This window comes from Homo sapiens, chromosome 14 (assembly GCF_000001405.40).
Source record: "Homo sapiens chromosome 14, GRCh38.p14 Primary Assembly".
NCBI lineage: Eukaryota > Metazoa > Chordata > Mammalia > Primates > Hominidae > Homo > Homo sapiens.
Window position 1 is genome coordinate 29,587,618 of NC_000014.9, and position 24,096 is coordinate 29,611,713.

Below are 24,096 nucleotides of genomic sequence, written 5' to 3' on the forward strand. Positions count from 1 at the left end.
TCATGAACTGTATTTTGCTTGCTATCAAAATAAATGATTCTTTTCCTAATGGGACATGCTTTGCAGATACTACCTTATTTGGATTTTGAAATATGTATACATAGGTATATATGTAAAAAAATCACTCTACTGGTAGATATTTTTCAAGTCATTTTATGCCTTTGGCTCATAATTGGAAAGTTCCTTCTTATTGTATAAAATATTCTTTTATTAAAATTAAACATAATTAATTCCAGAATCTTAAGTTGAGATTGTTTAGAATGTTAAACCCCAGTGGAGGTTCTGACCACCATAATTCACTTTATCTTATCAATTCTGATTAAATTTCCTGGCACCCAGTCAGCATTTTTAAGCAGTTCACTGGCTAGTCTCCTCGCCTCTCCTCCATGCCGTTATGTCTGACAGTGTGTTAATATGTTGACAAATCAATCTATTCATTAATATTCAGCAGGCTCGCTGGATCTGCAAGGCTCATAAACTGTTACAAACACAGTTTAATTATTAAAATGACAATTGTCTTTCTTTTGTTTCGCGTACCATTGGATTTCTGGGTCTCATCTACCCGAGGCTTATTTTCAATGGGGTTATTTTTTTGTTTTGAACAATATGTTGTGAAAGAGGGACCTACAGCTGGTTCCTTTTCATGGTAAAGTGCTACTTCCAACTTAAGTGTTTAGCGTTCTGGAACACTGTTGGATTTTGAAAACATACCATGTGGTAATGGTGCTGGGCTTTTATTTAGCTTTGCTTTGTGTTTGTACTGGCTATATTTTTCAATCTCCAATTTCTGGAGAAAAAACACACTTGTGACCAATTTAATTTGAATTTACCAAGTTGAATGGCAAAAATATCTTAAAAATTTAGATGCCTTGATAAATGTAGTGGTATATTATGATAGCCATTCTATGCCTTGAGATACCGTGTATTCTATATTGTATAGTTGAGGATTGAGACCAGTTGGAAGAATAAATTATAGCTGTGCTTATCAGGAAAAAGAAGCACAAATACGACCATGGAGGTTGCCAGGGCACACAAGTGGAAGAAACTCGCGTCACTGGTTGCATCACCATAATCTGATAATTTTGCCTTTAGTTCCTTCAGTGCACTAAAGGCAAAATTATCAGATTGTGATGCACTAAAGGCATTTCCTATGCTTTGCATTATTCCTAAAGTTGTGTGTGTGTGTGTGTGTGTGTGTGTGTGTGTGTGTGTGTGTTTGTGTCACCAAATGTCAAGGCTTCCCATCTGGTCTTAATTCCTGAGAATACCGACTAACCATGTGACTCTGAAGCTGAGCAGAAACAACTCAGCAGGTGACTCGGGAATAGGTGCTTCTTCAGACTTCACCTGTGAACACAGAAAATGATCTTCTGTCTGCAGGGGTCAGGGGCTCATTGTGAGACAATTTCCGAGGCTGCCTCTGTGTTGATTACTGCCTGTTTGCCTCTCTAATGGCATATAAAGGAATATGAAAACTCAGAAGGAAAAAAATAGCAACTTCTCTGGGAATCTTCATGGCCCATTACTAACCTTCCTCAAATTTACTGTATATTTCTAATTGAACACATCAGTTCAATTTGATAATGGAAATGTACTATGACGCTAACAAATGCTTTCCAATCCGTCGCTACAGGTCTGTCATCATTTTCCTAGTGAAACGACTTGCACTGAAGCAAATTATATCTCACTTCACCAAGTATACAATTTATATCGCTTGGTTATCTGTGTCATTTCTTTTCCTCTAAGAATAAACTCTGTGGAAAACAACAGCTATATAATCAAGTCAGCTGTAGAGAAGAATCATTTACTATATGTGTTATAATTCTGAGCAAATAAAGGAATGTAGGAAGACAGAATTCATTTGACCTTCACACTTGACTATTCTTTGTGTGGACATGATAGTTGAGTGACTTAAGATTGCATCTTCAACTGCTCAGTCACATTGCAGCAATTATAGAAAAAGAACTGTAATCCACAGCTCCTGAGTGAATATTTACATATAAATATTATATATTATTTATTTCAAATTTTAGACACTTTTTAGACCATGCATGGAAGAATTATAGTTCTACAAAAGGTTGTACTCTATTTACTCCATTTATCTTTCATGCCATGCCCTTTTATTTTTATTAGCTTTTTTATGAAAGTTATTGCATGCACCTGATAAAAGATCTAAATCAGTAAGACATGTACAAAAGCAAAAATAAATAAAGAAATAAATAAAGCCTCTTATATCTCATTATTAGACCTGCCTTCCGGAGACTACCTATTTTAAATATTTAAAATTTTTCTTCTAATTATTTCCATACCTCTAAATAATAAATGCAGTATCTTCTATACTTGTTTCATTGACCCTAAACTAGTGCTGCTTAAAGTGATCTATGAATCAGTGCTGGTCTGAATTGTTTATAATCAGTCAATGATGAGATAAGTATATAAAGTGAGACTAAGTCTTTGGAAATTTTTATAGCTATTTAACATTGCAGTCACATTTTAAGTACATTTTACAAAGTACTGGTCCATATGTTTAGAAATTGAAATAAGATAAAACTGGTCTTTATCACAGATAGTTTGAGAAGAATCACTTTGAAAAAGTGTGATTTCTTTCCATCACAGATGAATAATTTCATTCCAGTTTTCTCTATCTTATTGTTTTCCTCCTTCTCCCAATTAATCTGGATATGTTAAATTATAGCACTGGCCACCTTTGTAATTTAGAATAGTGCCTGGCACACAGTATGGAGGATCTTAGATAATCTATGTGACATTTATTAAAAACGTTAAGCTTTGATGGTCAAATTGTATGTTAAATGATACACATAAACACACATAACACCACTCATTCACTCTGACAGAATCCCATTATGAACTCGGTGGATGTGAGAGCTTTTACGGCTCCCTTCACTTCTTTGTTCTCCTTATTCCTGGTGTTGTAGAAGTTTCGTTATGCATATTCTTTTGCATAATTATAGTTAACTCAGACACGCTTGGTTTACAGGTCATATAAAACAAAATTAATCAGCAATATGTGGAGTAATTTATAAACATTAACTGATAAATTCTAGGTTATAACCCATATTTCCTATAGCCTGTAACCCCATATCTTCAAACCTATACCCAAAGGAGAATTTAAGTGTTAAAGAGATTCTCTTTTCCTACATTCCTTTATTTCATTTATTTATTTATTTTTTGAGACAGAGTCTGGCTCTGTCGCCCAGGCTGGAGTGCAGAGGCACTTGCACCCTCTGCCTCCTGGGTTCAAGCAATTCTCCTGCCTCAGCCTATCGAGTAGCTGGGACTACAGGTGTGCACCACTACGCCTGGCTAATTTCTGTTATTTTCAGTAGAGACGGGGTTTCATGTTGGCCAGGCTGGTCTTGAACTCCTGACCTCAGGTGATCCGCCCACCTTGGCCTCCCAAAGTGCTGGGATTACAGGCATGAGCCACCACGCCTGGCCCCTGCATTCCTTTAATTGCTAAAAATCATGACACATAGGTTAGTTGCATCTTTATTATACACGACTTTGTTATACAACTTTTTGTATTTCCCTGGTGTTTATAGTTGTTTCTTCTTTATTCCTGAAAAAAGATACTTGTGCTTCTTTTCTTATTCTCACTATTTTCATGGCAATCTGTAACATGAACAAGTTACATGTCCTGATATTGTATATCTGATAAAGAAGATGATAAAGATACAAAAATATTTTAGAAATGACAGAAATTTATAAATGATTTTATAAATTTTATAATGTATCTAACTTTGAATATCAGAAACTGAATTCAAAATTGTTTTAGAGCTCTATCAGCTGTAAGTTATTTCTGGGGATCTGGGCTCCAGAGCAGCGGTTTTGAAAGGGCAGTCCATGGACCATGGACTTCTTATGTTCTCAGTGCAAAACGGCAGTTTAAGGGGGTAGAGCCTGGGAACTTCCATTTTTAACTAGCTCCTCTAATTAACTGCTGGCATGCTAAAGTTAAAAAATGCCTGCTATAGATCTATAGCTAGGCCATGACAGGTTGTTTAAAATAAGCCATTATCAAAGAGGCTCTTTGGCAAAATTACTAGAAATCTCCTGCCTTACAAATATTCTTGCTTTGAGTAATAGCTAGTTTTTACATTTTCCATTTTTAAGCTCCACACCCCTGCGACCTACTTCTTAACTCACAGACTGAGTCTTGCTTGCAATTTTCTGGGGTTTTTAGCACTGTCTGGGATTCACCCTTATGACATACCACACACTGGAAACATGAGGGATATCTTGATCTATTTCTTGTTCTTGTTTCTAAAAATACAATGAAAGGAGGGCCATACTGGTAAATGATAAGGTGCAATTTTCCTTAGTTGTACCTGGTCATCTAAAATTATGTTTAAGTGATACTGAGCTGCCCTTCCATAGATAAAGTAAATTTAAAGCGAATATTTAAAAATAGGTACACAAGTTCTTTCAAGGAACCGAGAAGGGTAACAGAATGAATGTGTTGACCTTTAAGCCTAATCCGGTATGAGATAAAGTTGGAGATGACAGCAAGACCATGTCTAATTACTGATGGGTAGCGAGGGATATACTGGAGGATAACAAATGACCACCGACACAGCCATAATGATGAAATGAAATATGGTAGAACATACAACACTGCCTTAGGATAGACTGAAATGTTCCCACACTCTTTCCCCATGATGAGCTAGACTCTCCTTTTGTGCAACTGTTTGTAAATATATAATTCATGCTGGAATGTTTCATTTGTAGGCATGCATTTTTATATAGTTATGTATGCATAACTATATATATGATGTATGTATGTACTCTGTTACATATTGCTTATAATGTATTTTATAACAATTTATTACTTAACTATTGTAAGTTATACATAAATGCATTCAGTTATAATCTTTATACACAATTGTAGTTTTATATATATGAATGCTTACATTTATAAAAAACTAAATACATACATACAGATAGACAGAAGTAAAGACTATAAAGTGACTGGGAAACGGAAAATGATCAATATTTAAACTAATATAGACATGCCAATCACTGTGCTAAGCAGTTTCCAGAACAATCTCATTTAATACTTACAATAACCCAGTAAGGTAGGAATTAGCATCACCATATCAGAAAAGAAAACTGAGACCTAAGAGAACAAGTAACGTGGATGAGATCACCAAGATACTAAATGGTACAGCTTGCAACTCAGTTCTTGATCACAGTGTGATCCTGTTTCCTAGTACTTTTAGAAATTATTAAAATTTGTGTTACTACTCTAGCTCTATGCCTGTGAAAGCATTTTAAAAATTTAATGTGACAGCATGGCTAAATACATTAGAAAGATAATCAAGAGGCTGTCAATATCCTGGATAAGAGCATCTGCCTTGGAGCCAGCGGACAGGATTTGTACCCTGGCCCCACCTAGACAAGCTACTTAACCATCTATGCCTGCATTACCTAATCTTCAAAATGGAAACAATAATAAAACAATCCTTTGAGTAAATACTCAAAGGCTGGGTGATTAAACGAATTCACATATGAGTGTTTAGAATAGTGCCTGGCTACAGGGCAAATACTGTAAAAGTGTGAGCTATTCATATTTGTTCATATTTTTTCTTTCAACAGTTAATTAATTTTACTATCTCCATTTTACTGGAAACACCATTTGCTAAGTTTTCTTCAAATTTTCTCTTATTTTTCAAATCATACCTTATTTTGCACACAAAACATCTATTTTTATAAAGGACATCTGTTAATGCTTTTGTGATTGTTTTTAGCCTATCATCTTTTCCCTGCAGGAACTTCCTTCTTCCACCTGGAGGTTGTCATCATCATCCATATGGCCAGTCAGAGCCAGGCTCCTGGGGCTGCCGAATGATTGTTCCCTGGGTGTTAAGGGAGTTAACCATAGCCAATCAGTGCCCCTTCCAGAGACCCTACAGCTATGGAGAGATGATCCCTTTTCCATTCTGATTCATGGACAATAAGTAGCACATAAGCTTGGAGCTGCTAGGGTATCATTGCTTTAAGAAGTCATCTTAAAGTAAAGCAGAGCTGAGAGATGGCGAAACAATAACACTTGAGCTTTAAGATCTAGCTGAATCAGAGGTTTACCTTTTGGACTTCCCAGTTGTGTGAGCCAATAAAGTATCTTATTTGCCTAAGTTACAGATAGGTTTCTGTTATTTAAACACAAGAGTCCTGTTAATTCATTGATAAAGTATTAGCAGGCATATATGCAGAATGCCAGCACTCAGCTTACTAAATCATCTTAGCAGGAATAATTAATGAGTAAAATATTTCTATAGGTTCCTAAATATCAAGCCATAAGAAATAAGCACCCTTTTGGTATACAACAATGTATAGTGTAAAGAATGGAGACAAATTATAAATGATTTCCAGTCTAAGCCCTTGATTTCAAGATCATGAAACCTCTCTGGGTTCTCTCTAATGCAGAGACGAAAGCAAATCACTTACCAGAGGATTGCTGTGAGGATCAAGCAGTGCAATGACTACTCAAGCACCCCAAGATATAGGTATTATATTGTATCAAGTCAACATCTACACTAACAGAAAAAATACATAATAAAGAAATTTGTAATTCTGACACATCTATGCATGTTATTAAGATTGTAACTTATAACATTTTCTTTTGCTTTTTCATGCCAGGAAAAAAAAATACATTACAACTAGCAATATGTCCAAAGAACACTAAGGAATCCTGCACATCGTTTTTAAAATGATACGATCGATCTTTGGTTACCAGCCAGGGCAAGTGCTTGGTGTTCTGCTGTCCTCCTTCTGATGCAAATTCTTGGCTCACCCCACGCCTGCCTTTATAGATGCCTTTCATAACCTTTATCTCATTCAATCTTTGTAAAACCTCATTATGTAGGTGGGAATCATTTCCCATTTTACAGATGAGGAACTGAAGCCCAAAGAAGGTAAGTGATGACTCCTCGGAATGGCAGATAGGACTCTCTATCTCAAACTACTTGACTGTTGACATTTTATCTTTGTCAAAATCATGGAGGTGCTTGGGTTTTTATTTCCCTGGATCTGGATTCTTAGTGTTTCTGGTGTGGTTTAAAGTATCCTAGACTAAAAATTGATCTAATATCAGCTGTGACCACCCTGTGCCAGATACGATTAATAGTTGTGCTGGTGTGTTTGTCAGGTCCTACAAGCTTAAAATTAAAACTATTTGGTCTTAACTCCATTAAAACTTCTAATGATGGAATTATTTCTTCTCAATAAGATAATGGGATAGAACCTGGGCCAGTAACTACTTTTGTGACACCTTAACTGATATCATGATGTAATTTAACTAACTTTTCTCTATATTCAAGCATGAGTTCTGTTCATACATCAGCAGCTAGGTAACTTTTTTTTTTTTTTGCCATCCAGAGCTTTAGTTCGCAAACAGTAAAATGCCTGTGCCTCAAAGGCAAGAGTGAGCCATAAGGAGGTACTGAGTCATTTGGAAAAGTGAGGGTTCTATCTCCCATCTGAGCTGGTCTCCATATCACTTCATCTGAGTGGTAGGAAATTTTTAGTGCTTAGACATTTCTATAGCCAAGTAAAATGTGTACTTCCTAGTCAAATATAAATGCCTTTTGAATTATCCTGTATAATTCCCTCTTGCTAAAATGCTATGTCTCTTTCTTTCCATTCTTCACTGACTGGCCTAAATTCTATCTCCTCTGAAAGTGGAGTCCTAACTGGTAAAGTCCAAAGTGATTCTCCTTCCCCTGAACTTGGAGGCCCTGGTTTTCCACCTAGGTAACAATTAAAGGAAATATATTATCATTTTATCCAACATCACATAACTCGTCTCCCCAACTAACATTCAAGTTCTTTGAAGCACATCTGATGTTCTGTCCTCTACTTTTGTATTACCTACTGTGTATGTATATTGTGATTTCCCAACAAGTGTTTCCTGAGCCTTTGCTATCTAGTCCTCCGGTGTCTATTACTAGTGATAATTAAAAGTTCATAATTTATAACTATTCATTTCTGGCATGAATAGGTTTTGTCTTAATAGGCTATAGTTACATAGCAAGTCAAATTTTCATGAAAGCAGAGATGGGGCATCATTTGTTCCACTACTCCTAGAAAAAGGATTTAAAGACATGAAGGTTGTTTCCCCACACCCAATTCCTGTGTAACAGGAAAGTGTTTGATTGGCTTCAGTGGTATTACGGATTTGCATTCTGATAACAGGATCAAGTTATTTTACTGGATTTCTAGATGAGCAATATCAAGCATAATGGTTAGCTGTATTTAGATGTAATGTTTCCTAACAAGGGTACTGGTCACAAGGTTATTTGATAATTCTCTCTGTCTCCTGGGAAAGAAACTTAATTACACTTTACTTTTCATCTTTGTTGAATTATGAAAAATATTTAATTATTCCTTTGGCACACATGATAGCTCTTTTGTAGGCCACAGGTTCCTTTAAGATATATCCATCCACCTATGATTTACAACTAATTAGAGGATGTTAAAGGTTGTTGCTAATGGTAACTTAAAGCTCTGATAATGGATAGCTCTTGTCATTTAATACCAATAGCAGTCTAATAACTTAATTTCTCCTAAGCGGTTTGTACATTCTTTTCTCATTTCTATACCAACATATGCAGTAACAGGCATCACATAAGAGATGTTTACAAATGTACTAGCCTTTTCACATGGTGAACATCTGAACAAACAGAATGAACCTAGAACTAGATATTGCCTGTAAACTAGAAAAGACGTAGGGCTAGTACTGAAAAAAAGTATGTTCAGACTACCTGGGTAAGAATTATGCCCCTGCTACTTACTAGCTTTGTATTTTGACCAGTGGTGTCACTTCTTTTTTTTTGAGATGGAGTCTTACTCTGTTGCCCAGGCTAGAGTGCAGTGGTGCAATCTCAGCTCATTGCAACCTGCACCTCCCTGGTTCAAGCGCTTCTCCTGCCTCAGCCTCCTGAGTAGCAGGGACTACAGGCACGTGCCACCACGCTCAGCTAATTTTTGTATTTTTTAGTAGAGATGGGGTATCACCCTATTGGCCAAGCTGATCTTGAACCTCTGACCTCGTGATCCACACTTGAAATATAGCCATCATAGTAACACCTATCTTATAGAATTTTTATGAGAATTAAATACACTCCAATGTATGTTAAAGGAGGAACTCCTTTCCGAAGTACTGAATGAGTCACTTTCTCTGCCCTGTCAGCCCCTGCAATTTCTTTTAAACAATCTTTTGTCCTTTAAGAGGAAGGAAATATTTATTAAGAATATAACTCTAAACAATGCAACACTGTCAAGGTAATCTATTCTAAAGAAATCATCAGAGATATATATAGGAATGATACATCAGGATGTTCTAATACTAAACATAGAGAAATAACCTAAAAATTCCAGGGGAATGGCCAAGTAAAATATTATACATATTTTAATGCCACACAAAGAAAACCAGTAGACAAAGAACTTGGTATACTAACATATGTTATATGATCATTAAAATATCAATGTCATAACATTCTTGTGTTGATAATAGTTTAAAAGTTTTTAACACAGAACTAGGCACATATAAGTAAGCCCTTACTAATAATTCATTATTACTATTATATTAAGGTATAAGTATTTATAAGTTCTAATGAAATGTACCAAAATACATTCTCTCTGGTTGTTCACTTACTTCTTAATATATATAACCCAATTTCTGTTATGTGTATGTGTCCCACCCAAATTAATTCGTGTCTTTGTGTCTCCACTCTGGTGGGCACTTTACAATGAGCATGTATTAAGTTAATAATTTACAATTAAATTAATTTAAATTAATAACATAAACAAATAAGGATTAGATTATTATCATTTTTGAATGGAAGATATTACCTTCATGAGATATTTCCTTCCAGGGATTTGGTGGATACATGAAAGCTGCATTCTGAATTTGGTCGTGTATGTCTTCATCTTCATTAAATGGGAATGTGCCGCTTAGGCTTACATAGATGATGACCCCAACAGACCACATGTCTAGAGAGCGATTGTAGCCCTTGTTCCTTAGGACCTCAGGAGCCAGGTAAGCGGGGGTACCCACCACTGACCTCCGGAAAGACTTCTCTCCAATGATCCGGGCAAAACCAAAATCACAAAGTTTCACCTGTTGATGAAAGGATTTGCAGAAATACTCCGTTCACAATTGTGTGTCTGTGTGTCTTAGTTCAGATTCACCAGATACAACCATAATATTTTAAATACTTTACCTTTACATTAAATGATATGGATTTCTTAAAGTAATAGCTATTTTCCATTTTAGGTATTTGAAGACAGTGGTTTATGTAGTGATACAAAAGTATGTTTTCATTCATAAAAATATCATCTAAACAGTCTCCCTTGGCAGGGTGCAGTGGCTCATGCCTGTAATTCTAACATTTTGGGAGGCTGAGGCAGGAGGATTGCTTGAGGACAGGAGTTCAAGACCAGTCTAGGCACATAGTGAGACCCCCATCTCTACAAAAAATTAAAAAATTAGCCCGGCGTAGTGGTGTGCAGCTATAGTCCCAGCTATTCGAGAGGCTGAGGTGAGAGGATTGATTGAGTCTGGGAGGCAGAGGTTGCAGTGAGCTGAGACTGCACCATTCCACTCCAGCCTGGGGCAACAGAGTGCTCTGTCTAAAATAAAATAAAATAAAATAAAATAAAATAAAATAAAATAAAATAAAATAAAAATAAATGAAAAAATAAAAACAGTCTCCCTCCTCCAAAAACCGAGAGACAAATATGAAGACAAGTGTACTCAGAAGTGGGTAATATTGTATACAAGGCAGGAAAGCGTTATGCAAATCTGGGAAGTGATGACCTTCACTCAAGCGCTTATTATGAGAAGAAGATGAAGGATAAGTACAGAGATGTGTCATGTCATCCACAATAATCCTCAAAATTAGCTCTGCACTGGCACATATATAGGCAGGACCGGAAGGTGTTAGGGAAGCAAGGCAGGACAGTCACATCAGTCAAGTCACTTCAGACCTATAATTCCCTGCGGAGATAGCTGGTTTCCCACTCTCTAAGTTGAGGAAAGGAAAAAAGTTTTGCCCTTGTCCTTGAGAACAACAGTGAGGTTTAATATCTTGCCCATTAATGAGCAGGTAACATCTCTGGGACTCTCAAGTGTTGTCACTCTCAGGCCACTTCCGGAAAAGCCAAAAGGCAGAATGAGAAGGCACTTTTGTGTATAATTAAGGCATGCTTCACCAAAAGGCCAGAGTAACAAGGCCATAGTCCCAAAGTAACAAATGAATAAAAATGGATAGAAAACACTTGAAACAAATAAAGGTTTTAAGGGAAAAATGGAAGGTGACAAGATGCTACATGGAAGCTAGCAATGCTTCCAACTGGCTTTTTGCTGAGAGAGGCTTTTATACTTGCCTGAGGAAAAGGATCAGCTGAGGCTAGCAACACATTTTCTGGTTTGAGGTCACAGTGAACGATATTTTTAAAATGAAGGTGCCGCAAAGCCACGAGTATCTGTAAAGAAGAATCACCAAAATTTCATTCCAGTTTATTAATTTCAAAATGTCTTCTACCAGTTAAAAGGCCAAGAAAAAAAACTGACAATGGACATTCAAATTTCTTTATGTTAAAGACACTGAAATGAGCTAGATTAACATAGGTTTCTAAAGAAATTTCAATGAAAAAATTACCATATGATGGTATTCATACAGCGGCCAAGACAGATGTAGATAAAAGACCTATATCTAACAGGGACACCCATTCTTAAATATTCTCAAAGAACCAAAACTAAACCAATGTACATTTTAAAATTTCATGAAAAGTTTGAATACATGGACCTGCAAACATGTTACTAATTTGGTACACTGTGGACTCTGATTAATATAGATATAAATCACATAATACAATAAAGCCACTACAACCTTTTCTAGTGTAGTTTAGACTGGAGGTAGGGACTAAACAACAAGGCTAGAAAGCTGTAGTTAAACAGTGATAACATTTGATATTAAATATTGTATTTTTTCCGTCTCTAATTGATTTCTTACCTGAGTAATTAAAAACTTCGTTATGTGCTCTGGCAACCTGCCCTTTTCACTTGACAAGATCATTTCCAGCATGTCTCCATGGAGTTTTTCCATAACAACAAACACTCTTTCAGGCGTCTCAAACATACACTCCAAATTTACAACACCAGGGTGATGAAGGTTCTATTAAAGATAAATAAAGCACTTGAAGAAAATGAGTTTTTTGATACTGTTTGGCAAGCTCGCTGATTATACAAAACTGTTCAAGCTTAGAGCTATAGAGAAACCCACACTTAAGATTTTTAACACCTCTACATTCCACATGTGCTGCCTTATATTTTTGAAATTCTAATGTCTCCAAAAAATACATCTTTACTTTCTATGCGTAGTGAAATTATTTCTATGTGAAAAAAATCCAAGTTCTAGCACAGTGAATTGCTAATTAGGTTTTAATTAGAATACCATATTGAGAAATCTATAATTTCTTAGGATCATCCCCAATATTAAACATATTGTCCTAACTAAGCATACTAGGCTATTTATATACAATTGGTAGAAATCTAATGTAGTAAAGATGAAATTCATACATGTAGTGCATCGGGCCATGCACTGATTAAGTACCTTAGTCAAAACCTTTTAGAAATGCTTTGCTACTGGTACTGGAGGCTGCAGTTTTTGACAGAAACTCTTATACTAAGTGAAGATCATAAAAATAGCAACAAAAAAAAAGTGAGCCTGTGCTTTGTCTACAATACCATCCTACCTGCTTGGTTTTCAAGCACGCAATAAATATAGCTAATCCTTGAGAAACACAAATTTGAACTGTGTGGGTCCACTTACATGTGGATATTTTTCGATAAGTACAGTTGGCCCTTGGTATCTGTGGGTTCTGCATCCACAACCAAGTGAGTATTGAAAATACCGTGTTCACCGGATCCAAAAACCTGAGGATGAGGAGGACCAACTTTTCCTAGAGGGAAGTTCTGCAGAGCCAAATGTGGGATGTAAGTATGCGTGGATTTTGATATGTGGTGCGGTGGTTCTGGAACAAATCCCATGCGGATACCAAGGGACTGCTGTCTTTCCACAATAAAGTAATGACTAGTAATGGTAAGCAGCATTTTGCTTGACACATTAATTGCCACATGTCAAGTAAAATTACGCTTAGCATTAGACGATCTCTTGTAATAATGCTTAAATCTGAACGTTCTTCTGGGTCATCAACAAATGCCTTTGATCATTTGACCTTTACCTTTTTTCTCTGCACAACAACAAATCCTAACATTAAAAAAAAATTATATATTCCACTTATATCCCAATGAGCAAGAGAAGAAAAATCATCATGAACAAAAACCACCTAAACAAAAAAAGCAGGAACTAACTTAAATGTGCTAACAGCTGAAGAGAGAAAAAAATTAAATGCTTCTTTATTTTAGAAAAAAAAATCTCAGTGATAAAATTGTACGTAAAATGAAATTTAAAACCTCAAATGGCTCACTGCTCAGAAACCTCACAGATGGATGCTGGGTGGTGAGCAGCAGAAGGGGTTGTGGGTGAGTCTACATTGTTGTAGTTGTCCTCTCACTACCCATTTGCAAGGAAAGCCTGGCATCAACTGGATATAGAACCAGGAGCTCTGATGATGATAACTCATTTCTTAGAGAGTCCTTTTTCTACTTTGCCTGTTTTGATCTCTGCCTCAGGCATCTGATGGGTCTCTTTGATTCTGATGCCTTGGGTCAAATCATACAGCATAATGGAGTCATGGAATTGCAAGTTTATTATGAATGTGATCTGAGCAGACGCCTACACATCTACCCAATAGCCTTTAACCTCTAAAGGGCTAGAGTCATTGTTCTTCAAACCGTTGCACTGTTAACTGGTCAAGTCTGGCAACTTCGAATAGACCTCACCTCCCACGTTGCTCTCTCCTGGTCAGAGCTGAAGCACATGGAGATAGTTGGGGTTCACAAAGCTCATATTATCAACCCTCTTACTTTACTTTTCCTGATTACTTGCAAATAAGAGCAGATAGCCAGATGGCTTTGAGTATTATGGGAGGGCCAGAGGCTAAGGAGGCGACTAATATGACGACATACACTTGTTTGATAGGCACTATGGAACATGTGATAGTATTGTTCATACTTGAACTTGTGTCCCAGGCTGTCTCATTTCCTTTTCCTTACATGCCTTTCCCTGTTAGAGAAGCCAGACTGACTGCACAGACCACTGGCCTCTGAAGTGTCAAAGGTCTCAGCTGTTCTCTTTTAATCAATAATCACAGCACGAGCTTTAAGGATTACATGAGTTCGGCTAGAGTTCTGATTCTCCTAGGACAAGTCCACTATGATATGTGCAAAGTACACGTTCCTCTTTGAGCATCTTCATTGATTCTTTTATTTTTCTATTTAATATAACTGTAAGCACTTAAGCAGTGTTCTGGGGAGTCTGGCTTCCTTAAATGGCTAAGCTTTGCAGTACGGGTGGGAAGCAGAAGCAATGAATCAGAAAGGAGCAGAGCAACAGAAGTAGACAGGAAGGGTAGGTGTCCTCTGTGTGTAGGCAGACGAAAAACTAGTAGGAACAAGAGATAAGCGTTAAGGGAGAGTGACCTCGGGGGCCCAGGGAGGGCAGGGGTCACGGGAGTAGTATTGGAGCTGCACAGCCTGCTGCTTCTGCTGATCTTAGATTCTGAAAGTTGGAGAAGAGGGGAGAGACGCAATGACTGGGGAGTCCTCCTACCTAAATTATCTGAATGATATGAATCCTTATGTGCCTCTACCTGTATTCCTCTTTTTTTTTTTTTTTTTGTTTTGACGGAGTTTCACTCTTATTGCCCAGGTTGGAGTGCAATGGCAAATCTCGGCTCACCACAACCTCTGCCTCCCAGGTCCAAGCGATTCTCCTGCCTCAGCCTCCCGGGTAGCTGGGATTACAGGCATGCACCACCATGCCTGGCTAATTTTGTATGTTTTGTAGAGATGGGGTTTCTCCATGTTGGTCAGGATGGTGTCTAACTCCTGACTTGAAGTGATCCGCCCACCTTGGCCTCCCAAAGTGCTGGGATTACAGGCATGAGCCACTGCACCTGGCCAGTACATGAGTTCTTAGAGGTACTAAAGTCCTTCACTCAATTTATTCCTTTTTCCTACTCCACAACATGACCTGAGGTGCCCCTGTACAGAGGGTAGAACTTTAATACATGTTTATTTCCAGAATTGGGGTATTCACAGAATGTTCTAAATCAAAAGTAAGTGACAGATTAATGACAGTGTTCATTGTCAACTATTTTGTGCCATGTTCACCGTCAGCTCTGAAGAGCTCTACAAATGTTCTCTAATAGCATCTTGATGTAAAGGATAAGGGAACATTTTGTTATTTCCCAATTTGGGCTTTGAATGTGGTTAGATATACAAATTTTTAAAAATACATGTTCAATGAAAGCATCAGACTCAAGGCTAAGTATACACAACTGATAAAAAGAAGTCTTAGAAGTTTAAATTCATTTCACTTGGCCCTTGCTCTTTTATGAGCATATTTACACTTTACAGTTTTCCCAAAGTACATATTGAATGACAGCTGAAAAATCTTCTCAGTAGCGAAGTGATTTTGCTTTATCTGAATAGTTGATATACAACAAGTTTATTTTAACATTTATTGTATATGGTTGAGACAAGGCCATCATAGATACTTACTTAGGAACTGTATTTTTTCTTGCATTGAAACAAATGGCCAAACTTGTTTTTATATTTGATAGTAACAAAAGAAAACAAAACAGACTACATAGATCATGCCTTATTTAGTCAAACTTCTTATACTGCACTGATAAGAATATGCCGTTAGCCTAGAGAATATATTAGAAGACTGGAAATAAGAAAAAAGTTCCAGCTATTATTTCTCCATTTTCATGTGTAATTATTATTTTTTAATACCTTAAGTACAATTTTAAAATAAGTTCAACCAAGGTGGTCCATGTGACTTTTCATGAACAGTTTTAATTTTTCATATAAAATATGAAATAGCCTTTAAACCATTTCCTCCTAATGTCCAAAGTAACAGAATTATTAATAATTTTAAAATGGCAAGAAGACTGCAACATCAATCATGGCATAGTAGTGTGCAAAAAGAGTTTTGCCCAACTTCTCAGGCTTTCCACAGAAATGCAGATAAATTTCATGGCAGAGCAAGCTACTACAGGACTCTCTGGCCATCTGTCTGTTGCATTTAAGCAATTTAATTTTCAGGAAATGAAACATTTGGCCAAGTACAGGAAAAAATAGTGTCCATTCACACATAACAGATTGATGACATATTCACGGGGTGAATATAAGTTGTTTCGATGCCTGGGAGGAAATATCGTTTGTAGATCAAGACAAAAACTCTCCTGACCCAAGTTGCCTAGAAAATGTGTATATAATCAATGGAAATTAGTCACTAGAATCAAAAGCTTTTATAAAAGTAATATCTCAAGAAAATAAAGAATTGACTAATTCTAATTTTTTTGTTTTTACGTAATTCTCATTTACATTTTTTGATTTGTGTTAAAGGATATTCTTTAATATTGGTATCTAAGTACTAATATTCTTTAAGTCTAACATTGTTGCTTTATTGTAAATCTAGAGTTTATAATTTATTCCATATATGTAGTTTCCACCTTCTACCTTTAGGATTATTCTACTCAAACATATGAGAGGTAGGAAAGAGGAGAATTAGATTCAACCTATCTTTGCAATAGGTCTTTAGGAGCAGTGCAGTCTTAATATGGGGACCTCTGACTAATTTTCTGTCAAAGAACAAACTGATTTAGTTCATAATGAGATAGAAAAACTAAATATAAAAGTGATGAGCCTAGGATCTAAATTCTAAATGGTATGCAGATCAGAAGGAAGAATATTCCATCACACAATGGAATGGGTGGGGGGCATGAGGTACAGTACTGCAGCAGTGGCCTTGTCGACTCTCATTCCTGCCAGTTTGCCAGGGTCAAGAGAAGAGCACACCTTCTTATCCATTTTCTAATTACTGTCTCTTATAATTTATGCTTCATGTCAAGGTCTTAGAAATCACAATCCTTAAACGCCTTATTAAAGGGAAACAGACTATACTTACCTGATAGAGAATAAAAAGTCATCTTGCAGAGAACAGACAATTATAAAAGTATTTGTTAAAGATAATACCCAAATTGATATGATAAGATCTCCTAAATTCCACAATCTTATATTCAATTGTCTTTGGGGTATGTTCATTTAAATGGAAGAGGTCCAACAATGACATCAGCGTCTCTCCACCCAAACTTATTCTTCTAGTATTTCTTCGCTTGGCAAATGGCGAATCACCTAGGTCAGAAACCTTGAGCTCATCCTAAATGCTAACTTCTCTTTCACTTCCAACAACCCACTGGTCTCTAAAAGTAATAGAGCCCACCTCCTTCATCTCTCACACTGACCCCTTACCTTCATCCTCACCTCTGCTGCCTTGGTTCGAGCCCTCATCTCTTTTACAGGGATCCACCACAGCATCCCAACTGATCTGGCCTTAGGTCTTCTTCTCCAATCCATTCTTCAAAAGGCTGCCACTGTGATCTTCCCAAAGGTGATTCTGATGCTACCATCTTGCTTCAAGCCCACAAATGAATCACCACCAACTTCTGGATAAGGTGCCTACCCTTAGCAAGGCATACAAAACCCTTCAAAATCAGCTCCTTTTTCTCTCTCTGCTTAAGTATTTCTCCAGCTTTGTCTCTTCACCCAAATATCCACCCTTTTTGCCACCCTAAAACCATTTTTATAACAAGCCACACTCTCTCCTTTCTATGTTTTCATACATACTACCCTTCAGCCTGACCACGAACGTTTATCGGGTGTGAATATTCAGCTGTCAGGTAACTTTTATTGACTCTCCCAGTCTGTCTTGGATGTCTCTCTACTCTCAGAGTCTTTGCTATAATCCCCTTTCATAACACTTATCCTACCATATTTGGTTGTTGGTGAACCTATTTGTCTTATTTACAAGGCTACAAGCTCCATAAGAGCTATAATTTATCATTTTGTATTCCCAGTCAATATAAGTCTAGTGCCTGATACATACTAAATATTCAACACATTTGCTAAATTTGATTGAAAGATGAAGAGTCTCTACGTCTCCTTACTTTTCATTAAGTGAATAATATTCTTTAAGATCTCCATGGCTTTTAGATATGCTAGTACGTGTTCGACATATTTAGTGATAGTACATTTTGCATCAAGTACGATATATAGTGATAGCCTCTCTTCAGAAAAAAATACAGCACATGGCTTTTTAATTGAGTTCTCTTAAATCTGTTAGTCGGAAATTTCAGGAGTCTGATGACAAATATGATCATAAGTAATGACTTTTTTTTTCTTTTCCTTTTTTTTGGAGACAGATTCTCACTCTCTTGCCCAGGCTGGACTGCAGTGGTGCAGTCTCAGTTCACTACAGCCTCCCCCTCTCGGGTTCAAGAGATTATTCTGCCTCAGTCTCCCAAGTAGCTGGGATTACAGGTGCCCGCCACCATGCCTGGCTAATTTTTGTATTTTTCGTGGAAACGGGGTTTCACCATGTTAGCCAGGCTGGTCACAAACTCCTGACCTCAAGTGATTTGCTGGTCTCGGCCTCCCAAAGTGCTGGGATTACAGGCATGAGCCACCACACCTGGCCAATAATGACTTTTTTGATAAATACTAATAATATGGATGTGATTCTCAGAGATGCCACTACTGATGAGTTGCAATGATTTCTCTAGGACCAAGGATATGATAAAGACAGTCTCTTTCACTTTTTAGGTACAACCCCCTCAAAATCTACCAATTTTGATCAGTGTTTTTGTAAAGATTTCAACATCTTTGATAGGAAGAAACATGATTTTCCTATGCTCTAGGAGACTTGTATTTATTTAATATCTAGCTCTTAATAAGGAGATACTTTAGATTCAGATCATTCTCAAAAGCCACCAGGAAACAGTTATCAGCAAGAGATAAGCAAAGTAGCAGCACAGTCAGGATATTCCCTTCCCTCCATGCCAACCCTCATTTACATTGTGAAAACCTTACTATGATTCCATCATTGTCCTGAGGATGAGAATAAAGAATTGAAAATGGGCTATTCAGATGATAATGACCACTGTACCTCTTTTACTTCTTACTTAGAAAAGGTCTTTCAACTCCTCTTATTTTTTTATTTAACCCAGAACAGGTTTGACTACAAGGAAAGCCTGGAAACCTGGAGCTTAATTTCAGGAGCAAGTTCTCTGAAGACAGATGTCCTGAGTTTGAATTCCAGCTCTGCCTCTTCCCAGCTTCTGCCTTCAGGTGAGTTATCTAAACTCTCTGAGGTGCTTCCAAATCTTATGTAAAATAGGATGATAGTAATGTGTCAACTCATAACACAGTCAGGTCTCATTATTTAATGGAACAAAATACTTGGAATTGTGCCTGGCACATAGTATGGGTTAATTATTACTACTGGGTAAATTTTATGGCATTTAAAAATGATTTGGGCCCAATGTCCCCCTTTAGTTTGATAACTGAAAGTTTACAGTAGTAAGCCACAGAGAAGAAAACTTCCTTTAGCCTTTCACCCAACAGAGGCTCTATCAGATTAAGTATGAACTGCCACAGACTTGCACCTTCTAGTTAGTCAATCCCCGTCTTTCCCCTTACTGTGTGTGTGTGTTTTTAAACAACAAATGTATTATCTCACAGTTCTGTAGGTCAGAAGTCTGGTGAGCTCAGCTGTTTTCTCTGGTCTGGGTTTCATAGACAGAAATCAAGTTGATGGCAAGCTGCTCTCTTATCTGGAGGCTCTGAGGGAGAACCGCTTCCAAGCTCACTCAGGTTGTTGACAGAATCCAGTTATTTGGGCTGCAGGGGTGAAGTCCCCGTTTCCTCGCTGGCTGTGAGCCAAGCGTCTCTCTCAGCTCCTTGAAGCTACCTGAATTCCTCATGATGTTGCTCCCCACATCTAACCAGCTACTGCGTGTGGAGTCCTTCTCACACTTTGAATCTTTGTGACTACTTCATCTCTTCTGCCTCCAGCTGGAGAAGGTACTGTGCTTTTAGGGGCTCATGTCATTAGATTGAGCACACCTGAATAATCCAAACGACTCTTCCTATTTTAAGGTCTGCAACTTTAATTATACCTGTAAAGTTCCTTTTGCCACCTAAGGTAATATATTTACTGGTGTCAGAGATTAGGGTGCAGACATCTTTAACAGGGCAGGGGTATGTGGGGGGGCATTCTGCCTACCACACCATACAAAGACTCCACTATTTGGTCTGCCTAACACATTCCTCAATACTAGGGCAGGAATATGAAGTCTTTGTCCTTTGAAACTGAGGGAAAGAGTTCACAAACAACTGTAATAAGATTTATTTATTAGTTATATTATTTATAAATTAACATATTCAAATATACTCAAAAGTAAAGTGAACGCTATAAAGACATCCATGTATCTGCCAATCTGGATGCATCCATTTTGCCAATCTGGATGCATCTACTTTTTCACACCTTGCTTTTTTTCTTTTGATGTATCTACAAATGGAAGACAGTATCTTTATTTGTGAAGATGTATAGGGCTTCATATTTTATTGGAAATTGTAATCATTTCAAATAATACAAATTAAAGAACAAAAGGATACAAATAAAAAAAGAATACTCATACTTTATCCTCATTTAGTGAATGAAAAATAAACTTTCAGATATTAAAATCTTGCCCAACTTACATATTACCATTATAGTTCATTAATATTTTATATTAACATAAAAGTCTTTTATTTTATTCTTATGCTGATATATAAGGGAAAGATGAATGAAAGGGAATGGGAAAGGTGGACTCCTTTTTCTCAGAGAATTAAAAAAATGAAGCCCAAATTATACATTTTTCTCAAGGATGCTTACTTTTCTCCCCTTTTTCTTGTTGCCAACCCTAAGGTATTTTCAGGATACTATATAACTTACTTATGAAGATGTTTTACTATAATAACATAATTATTTGCTATCATGGGGTACCTTGCTGTGTTTTCAGACCTCAGTGATGACAGAGGTGCTTCTACTCTAAGGTCAATTAAGGGAAAGGCTGTGTGTTATATCACATGAAAATTCTCCTGCTCTAAAGTGAGAACAGAGATCATTTGGTTATTGCCTATGAACATGTCCCCGTTTCATCTTCAGTTGGCAAAAAGTTTGCAATTAAAACAGGCTCATTCTTCATTAATCATCTTTTGGGGGTACCATGTTTTGAAAATTTTCATCTACAATATTTTAGAAATTCACATTGATATTAACTTAGAACAAATTATGTTAATATGTACTGTCAGAGGAATAAATACAAATGACATGACTTCAACAAGACCAAATAGAACAATCCACCCTCTTGTGAACAGGTGTCACTGGTTGACTGTTACATCAACGAGGTCATGATCAAATATAACTCACTGGACTCCGAGGATTCAGAAATTCTCAGATCACTCCTATTAAGAACTGTTTGCTCATACCATCCACTGGAACTAGAGTATAATTATACTTTTGTTGTGCCACTAATTAGCAGAGATTTATCCTGGTTTAATATAGTTCAAAATTTTGTAGAAACAATAGTAAGTTGAAGCATCTCCATTAACTGCTAATGACAACAGATATATTGTGCCCTCATATCAAGAAAGGGAGTCAACCTTGAGGTGGCTAGCTTATAATGCACAATGCATGATTACAATTTTTTCATCATAAATTAGTTGTAGTCTTGTGCATTCTATTAAGTAAAATTGGCCCCAAGTGTTGGGGAGAGGTGAGGATCAATTCAATGTTTGCATAGCAAAAGAAATCACTTGAGGACTAATCTATTTGTGTGTGTGTGCGTGCACACACACACACACACACACACACACACACATATATATATTTTAATTTTTTGAGACAGAGTCTTGCTCTGTCAGCCAGGCTGGAATCTAGTGTTGTGATCTCCACTCACTGCAACCTCCACCTCCCAGGCTCAAGGAATTCTTTCACTTCAGCCTCCCAAGTAGCTGGGACTACAGGCAAGCACCACCACGCCCAGCTATTTCTTTATTTTTTTTTTTTTTTTGTACTTTTAGTAGAGACAGGGTTTCACTATGTTACCCAGGCTGGTCTCGAACTCCTGGCCTCAAGTGATCTGTCTGCCTCAGCCTCCCAAAGTGCTGAAATTACAGGCATAAGCCACCATGCCCGGCCAAAAACCATGTATATTCAAAAACCTATCCACACACCTCGCAGTCATTCTTCGTTTCATACATTCTAGAAATGATTCAATCTAGATTTAGATCCAGGATTGCTGCAGACACATGATAAATGTAATGAGTCCTCTCTTTTCCCTATAAAAGGAGAAGTAGCTAAATGTAGAGGGGTGAGAGGAGTATGCAGAAAGCAACACTTATAAATACTCTCTCATCATCTTTCATTTTTTTCTAGTTTTTTTGACTTTTCCACATAGAAGTAGTATAAAAATATTTGACATTTTCTACCCATCACAGGGCATCCTTCAGAAAAGATGAATGGAAAATTTTAAAAACAAAACCTATCAAGAAAATGAGAAAAAAAGCCACAGACTGGGAGAAAATATTTGCAAAAGACACAAATGTCTTTGTGATATAGAACTATTATCTAAAATATACAAAGAACTACTAAAACACAACAAGAAAACAAACAGCCAGATTAAAAAAATGGGCCAAAAACCTTAACAGACCCCCTTACCAAAGAAGCTATACAGATGGAAAATAAGTACATGAAAAATTGCTCAATATCAGGTGTCATCAGGGAAATGCAAAATAAAATACCAGTAAGATACCATTACACACCTATTAGAATTGCCAAAATCTGGAACTCCGACAAGGCCAAATGCTGGCAAGGATGTGGAGTAACAAGAACTTTAATTCATTGCTGGTGGGAATATAAAATGGTACAGCAACTTTGGGAGACAATTTAGTAGTTTCCTACAAAACCAAACATATACTTAATATACTATCATACTTCTGGGTATTTACCCAAAGAAGTTTAAAACTTACGTTCACACAGAAACCTGCAGAGATACTTATAACAGCTTTATTTATAATTGCCAAAACTTGCAAGCAACCAAGATGTCTTTCAGTAGGTGAATGAACAAACTGTGGTACATCCAGGGAATATTATTTAGTGCTAAAAAGAACTGAACTCTCAAATCATGAAAAAACTTGGGGGAAACTTAAATGTACATTACTAAGTGAAAGAAAGCAACCTGAAAAGGCCACATACTATGTGATTCCAGCTATGTGACATTCTGGAAAAGACAAAAAGAGAAAACTATGCTGACAACAGAAAGATCAGTGGCTGACAGGGATAGTTGAACATGTGAAGCACAGAGGATTTTTAAGGCAAGGAAAATACTCTGTATGATACTATATGATGGATACATGTAATTACACATTTGTCCAAACCCATGGAATATTCAACATCAAGAGTAAACCATGATGTAAACTATGGACTTCAGGTAATTATGATGTGTTAAGGTGGGTTCATCCACTCTAACAAATGTACCACTGTGGTGGGGGATATTCATAGTGGGGGAAGGTACACATGTGTAGGGGCAAGGTGTATATGGGAAATCACTGTATCTTCTTCTTAATTTTGCTGTGACATTAAAATTGCTCTAAAAATAAAGTCTTTTAAAATATCTCTTTAAATAAAACAAACAATAAAACCTCAACGAAATCTAGATGCTCTAAGCCCATCATCTGGGCTCATACACTGGGGAATCATTGGCATTAATGCTTGTATATGTTTGAATTCGATACTGTAATTTTAGGGGGTGGGGGGAGTGAGAACTCAAGAAAGACTCACATAGCAGGGATCCTGAATGCATGCATCCCAGTACCCACCTTCTAACTCCCAACCAAGGTTAAAAGAGTATAATGTTGGAGAACCAGCAGAAAAAGGCCACAAAACAGAAAATTAATGACTAACCCATACATTTCTAAAAAATCAGTGTTACAGACATTCTGTTCTTCAAGTATGACCCCCTTCCCTTCACACCATTATTGGGTTTGTGTTTAGG

General features: G+C 36.9%; 1 protein-coding gene and 1 long non-coding RNA gene across 8 annotated transcripts in view; both read right to left on the reverse strand.

Annotated features, from left to right (window-relative positions):
* The window catches only part of PRKD1 (protein kinase D1), a 351,369-nt gene that overhangs the window by 11,139 nt on the left and 316,134 nt on the right, over positions 1–24,096 (reverse strand). For all 7 annotated transcript variants that reach the window (XR_943493.3, NM_002742.3, NM_001330069.2 and 4 more), the window contains 3 exons: positions 12,039–12,200; positions 11,410–11,508; positions 9,874–10,141 (listed from right to left, as the gene is read on the reverse strand). Coding sequence is in view for 6 of the 7 variants with exons in the window: in NM_002742.3 (NP_002733.2) it covers positions 9,874–10,141; positions 11,410–11,508; positions 12,039–12,200 (529 nt within the window). In the remaining variant the exon portion in view is untranslated. The remainder of the gene's footprint in view (positions 1–9,873; positions 10,142–11,409; positions 11,509–12,038; positions 12,201–24,096) is intronic.
* On the reverse strand, positions 3,498–9,859 carry LOC124903297 (uncharacterized). Its single transcript, XR_007064105.1, has 2 exons — positions 6,469–9,859; positions 3,498–5,137 (listed from the first exon to the last, which is right to left on the reverse strand). It is a non-coding gene; the product is annotated as an uncharacterized LOC124903297 (long non-coding RNA).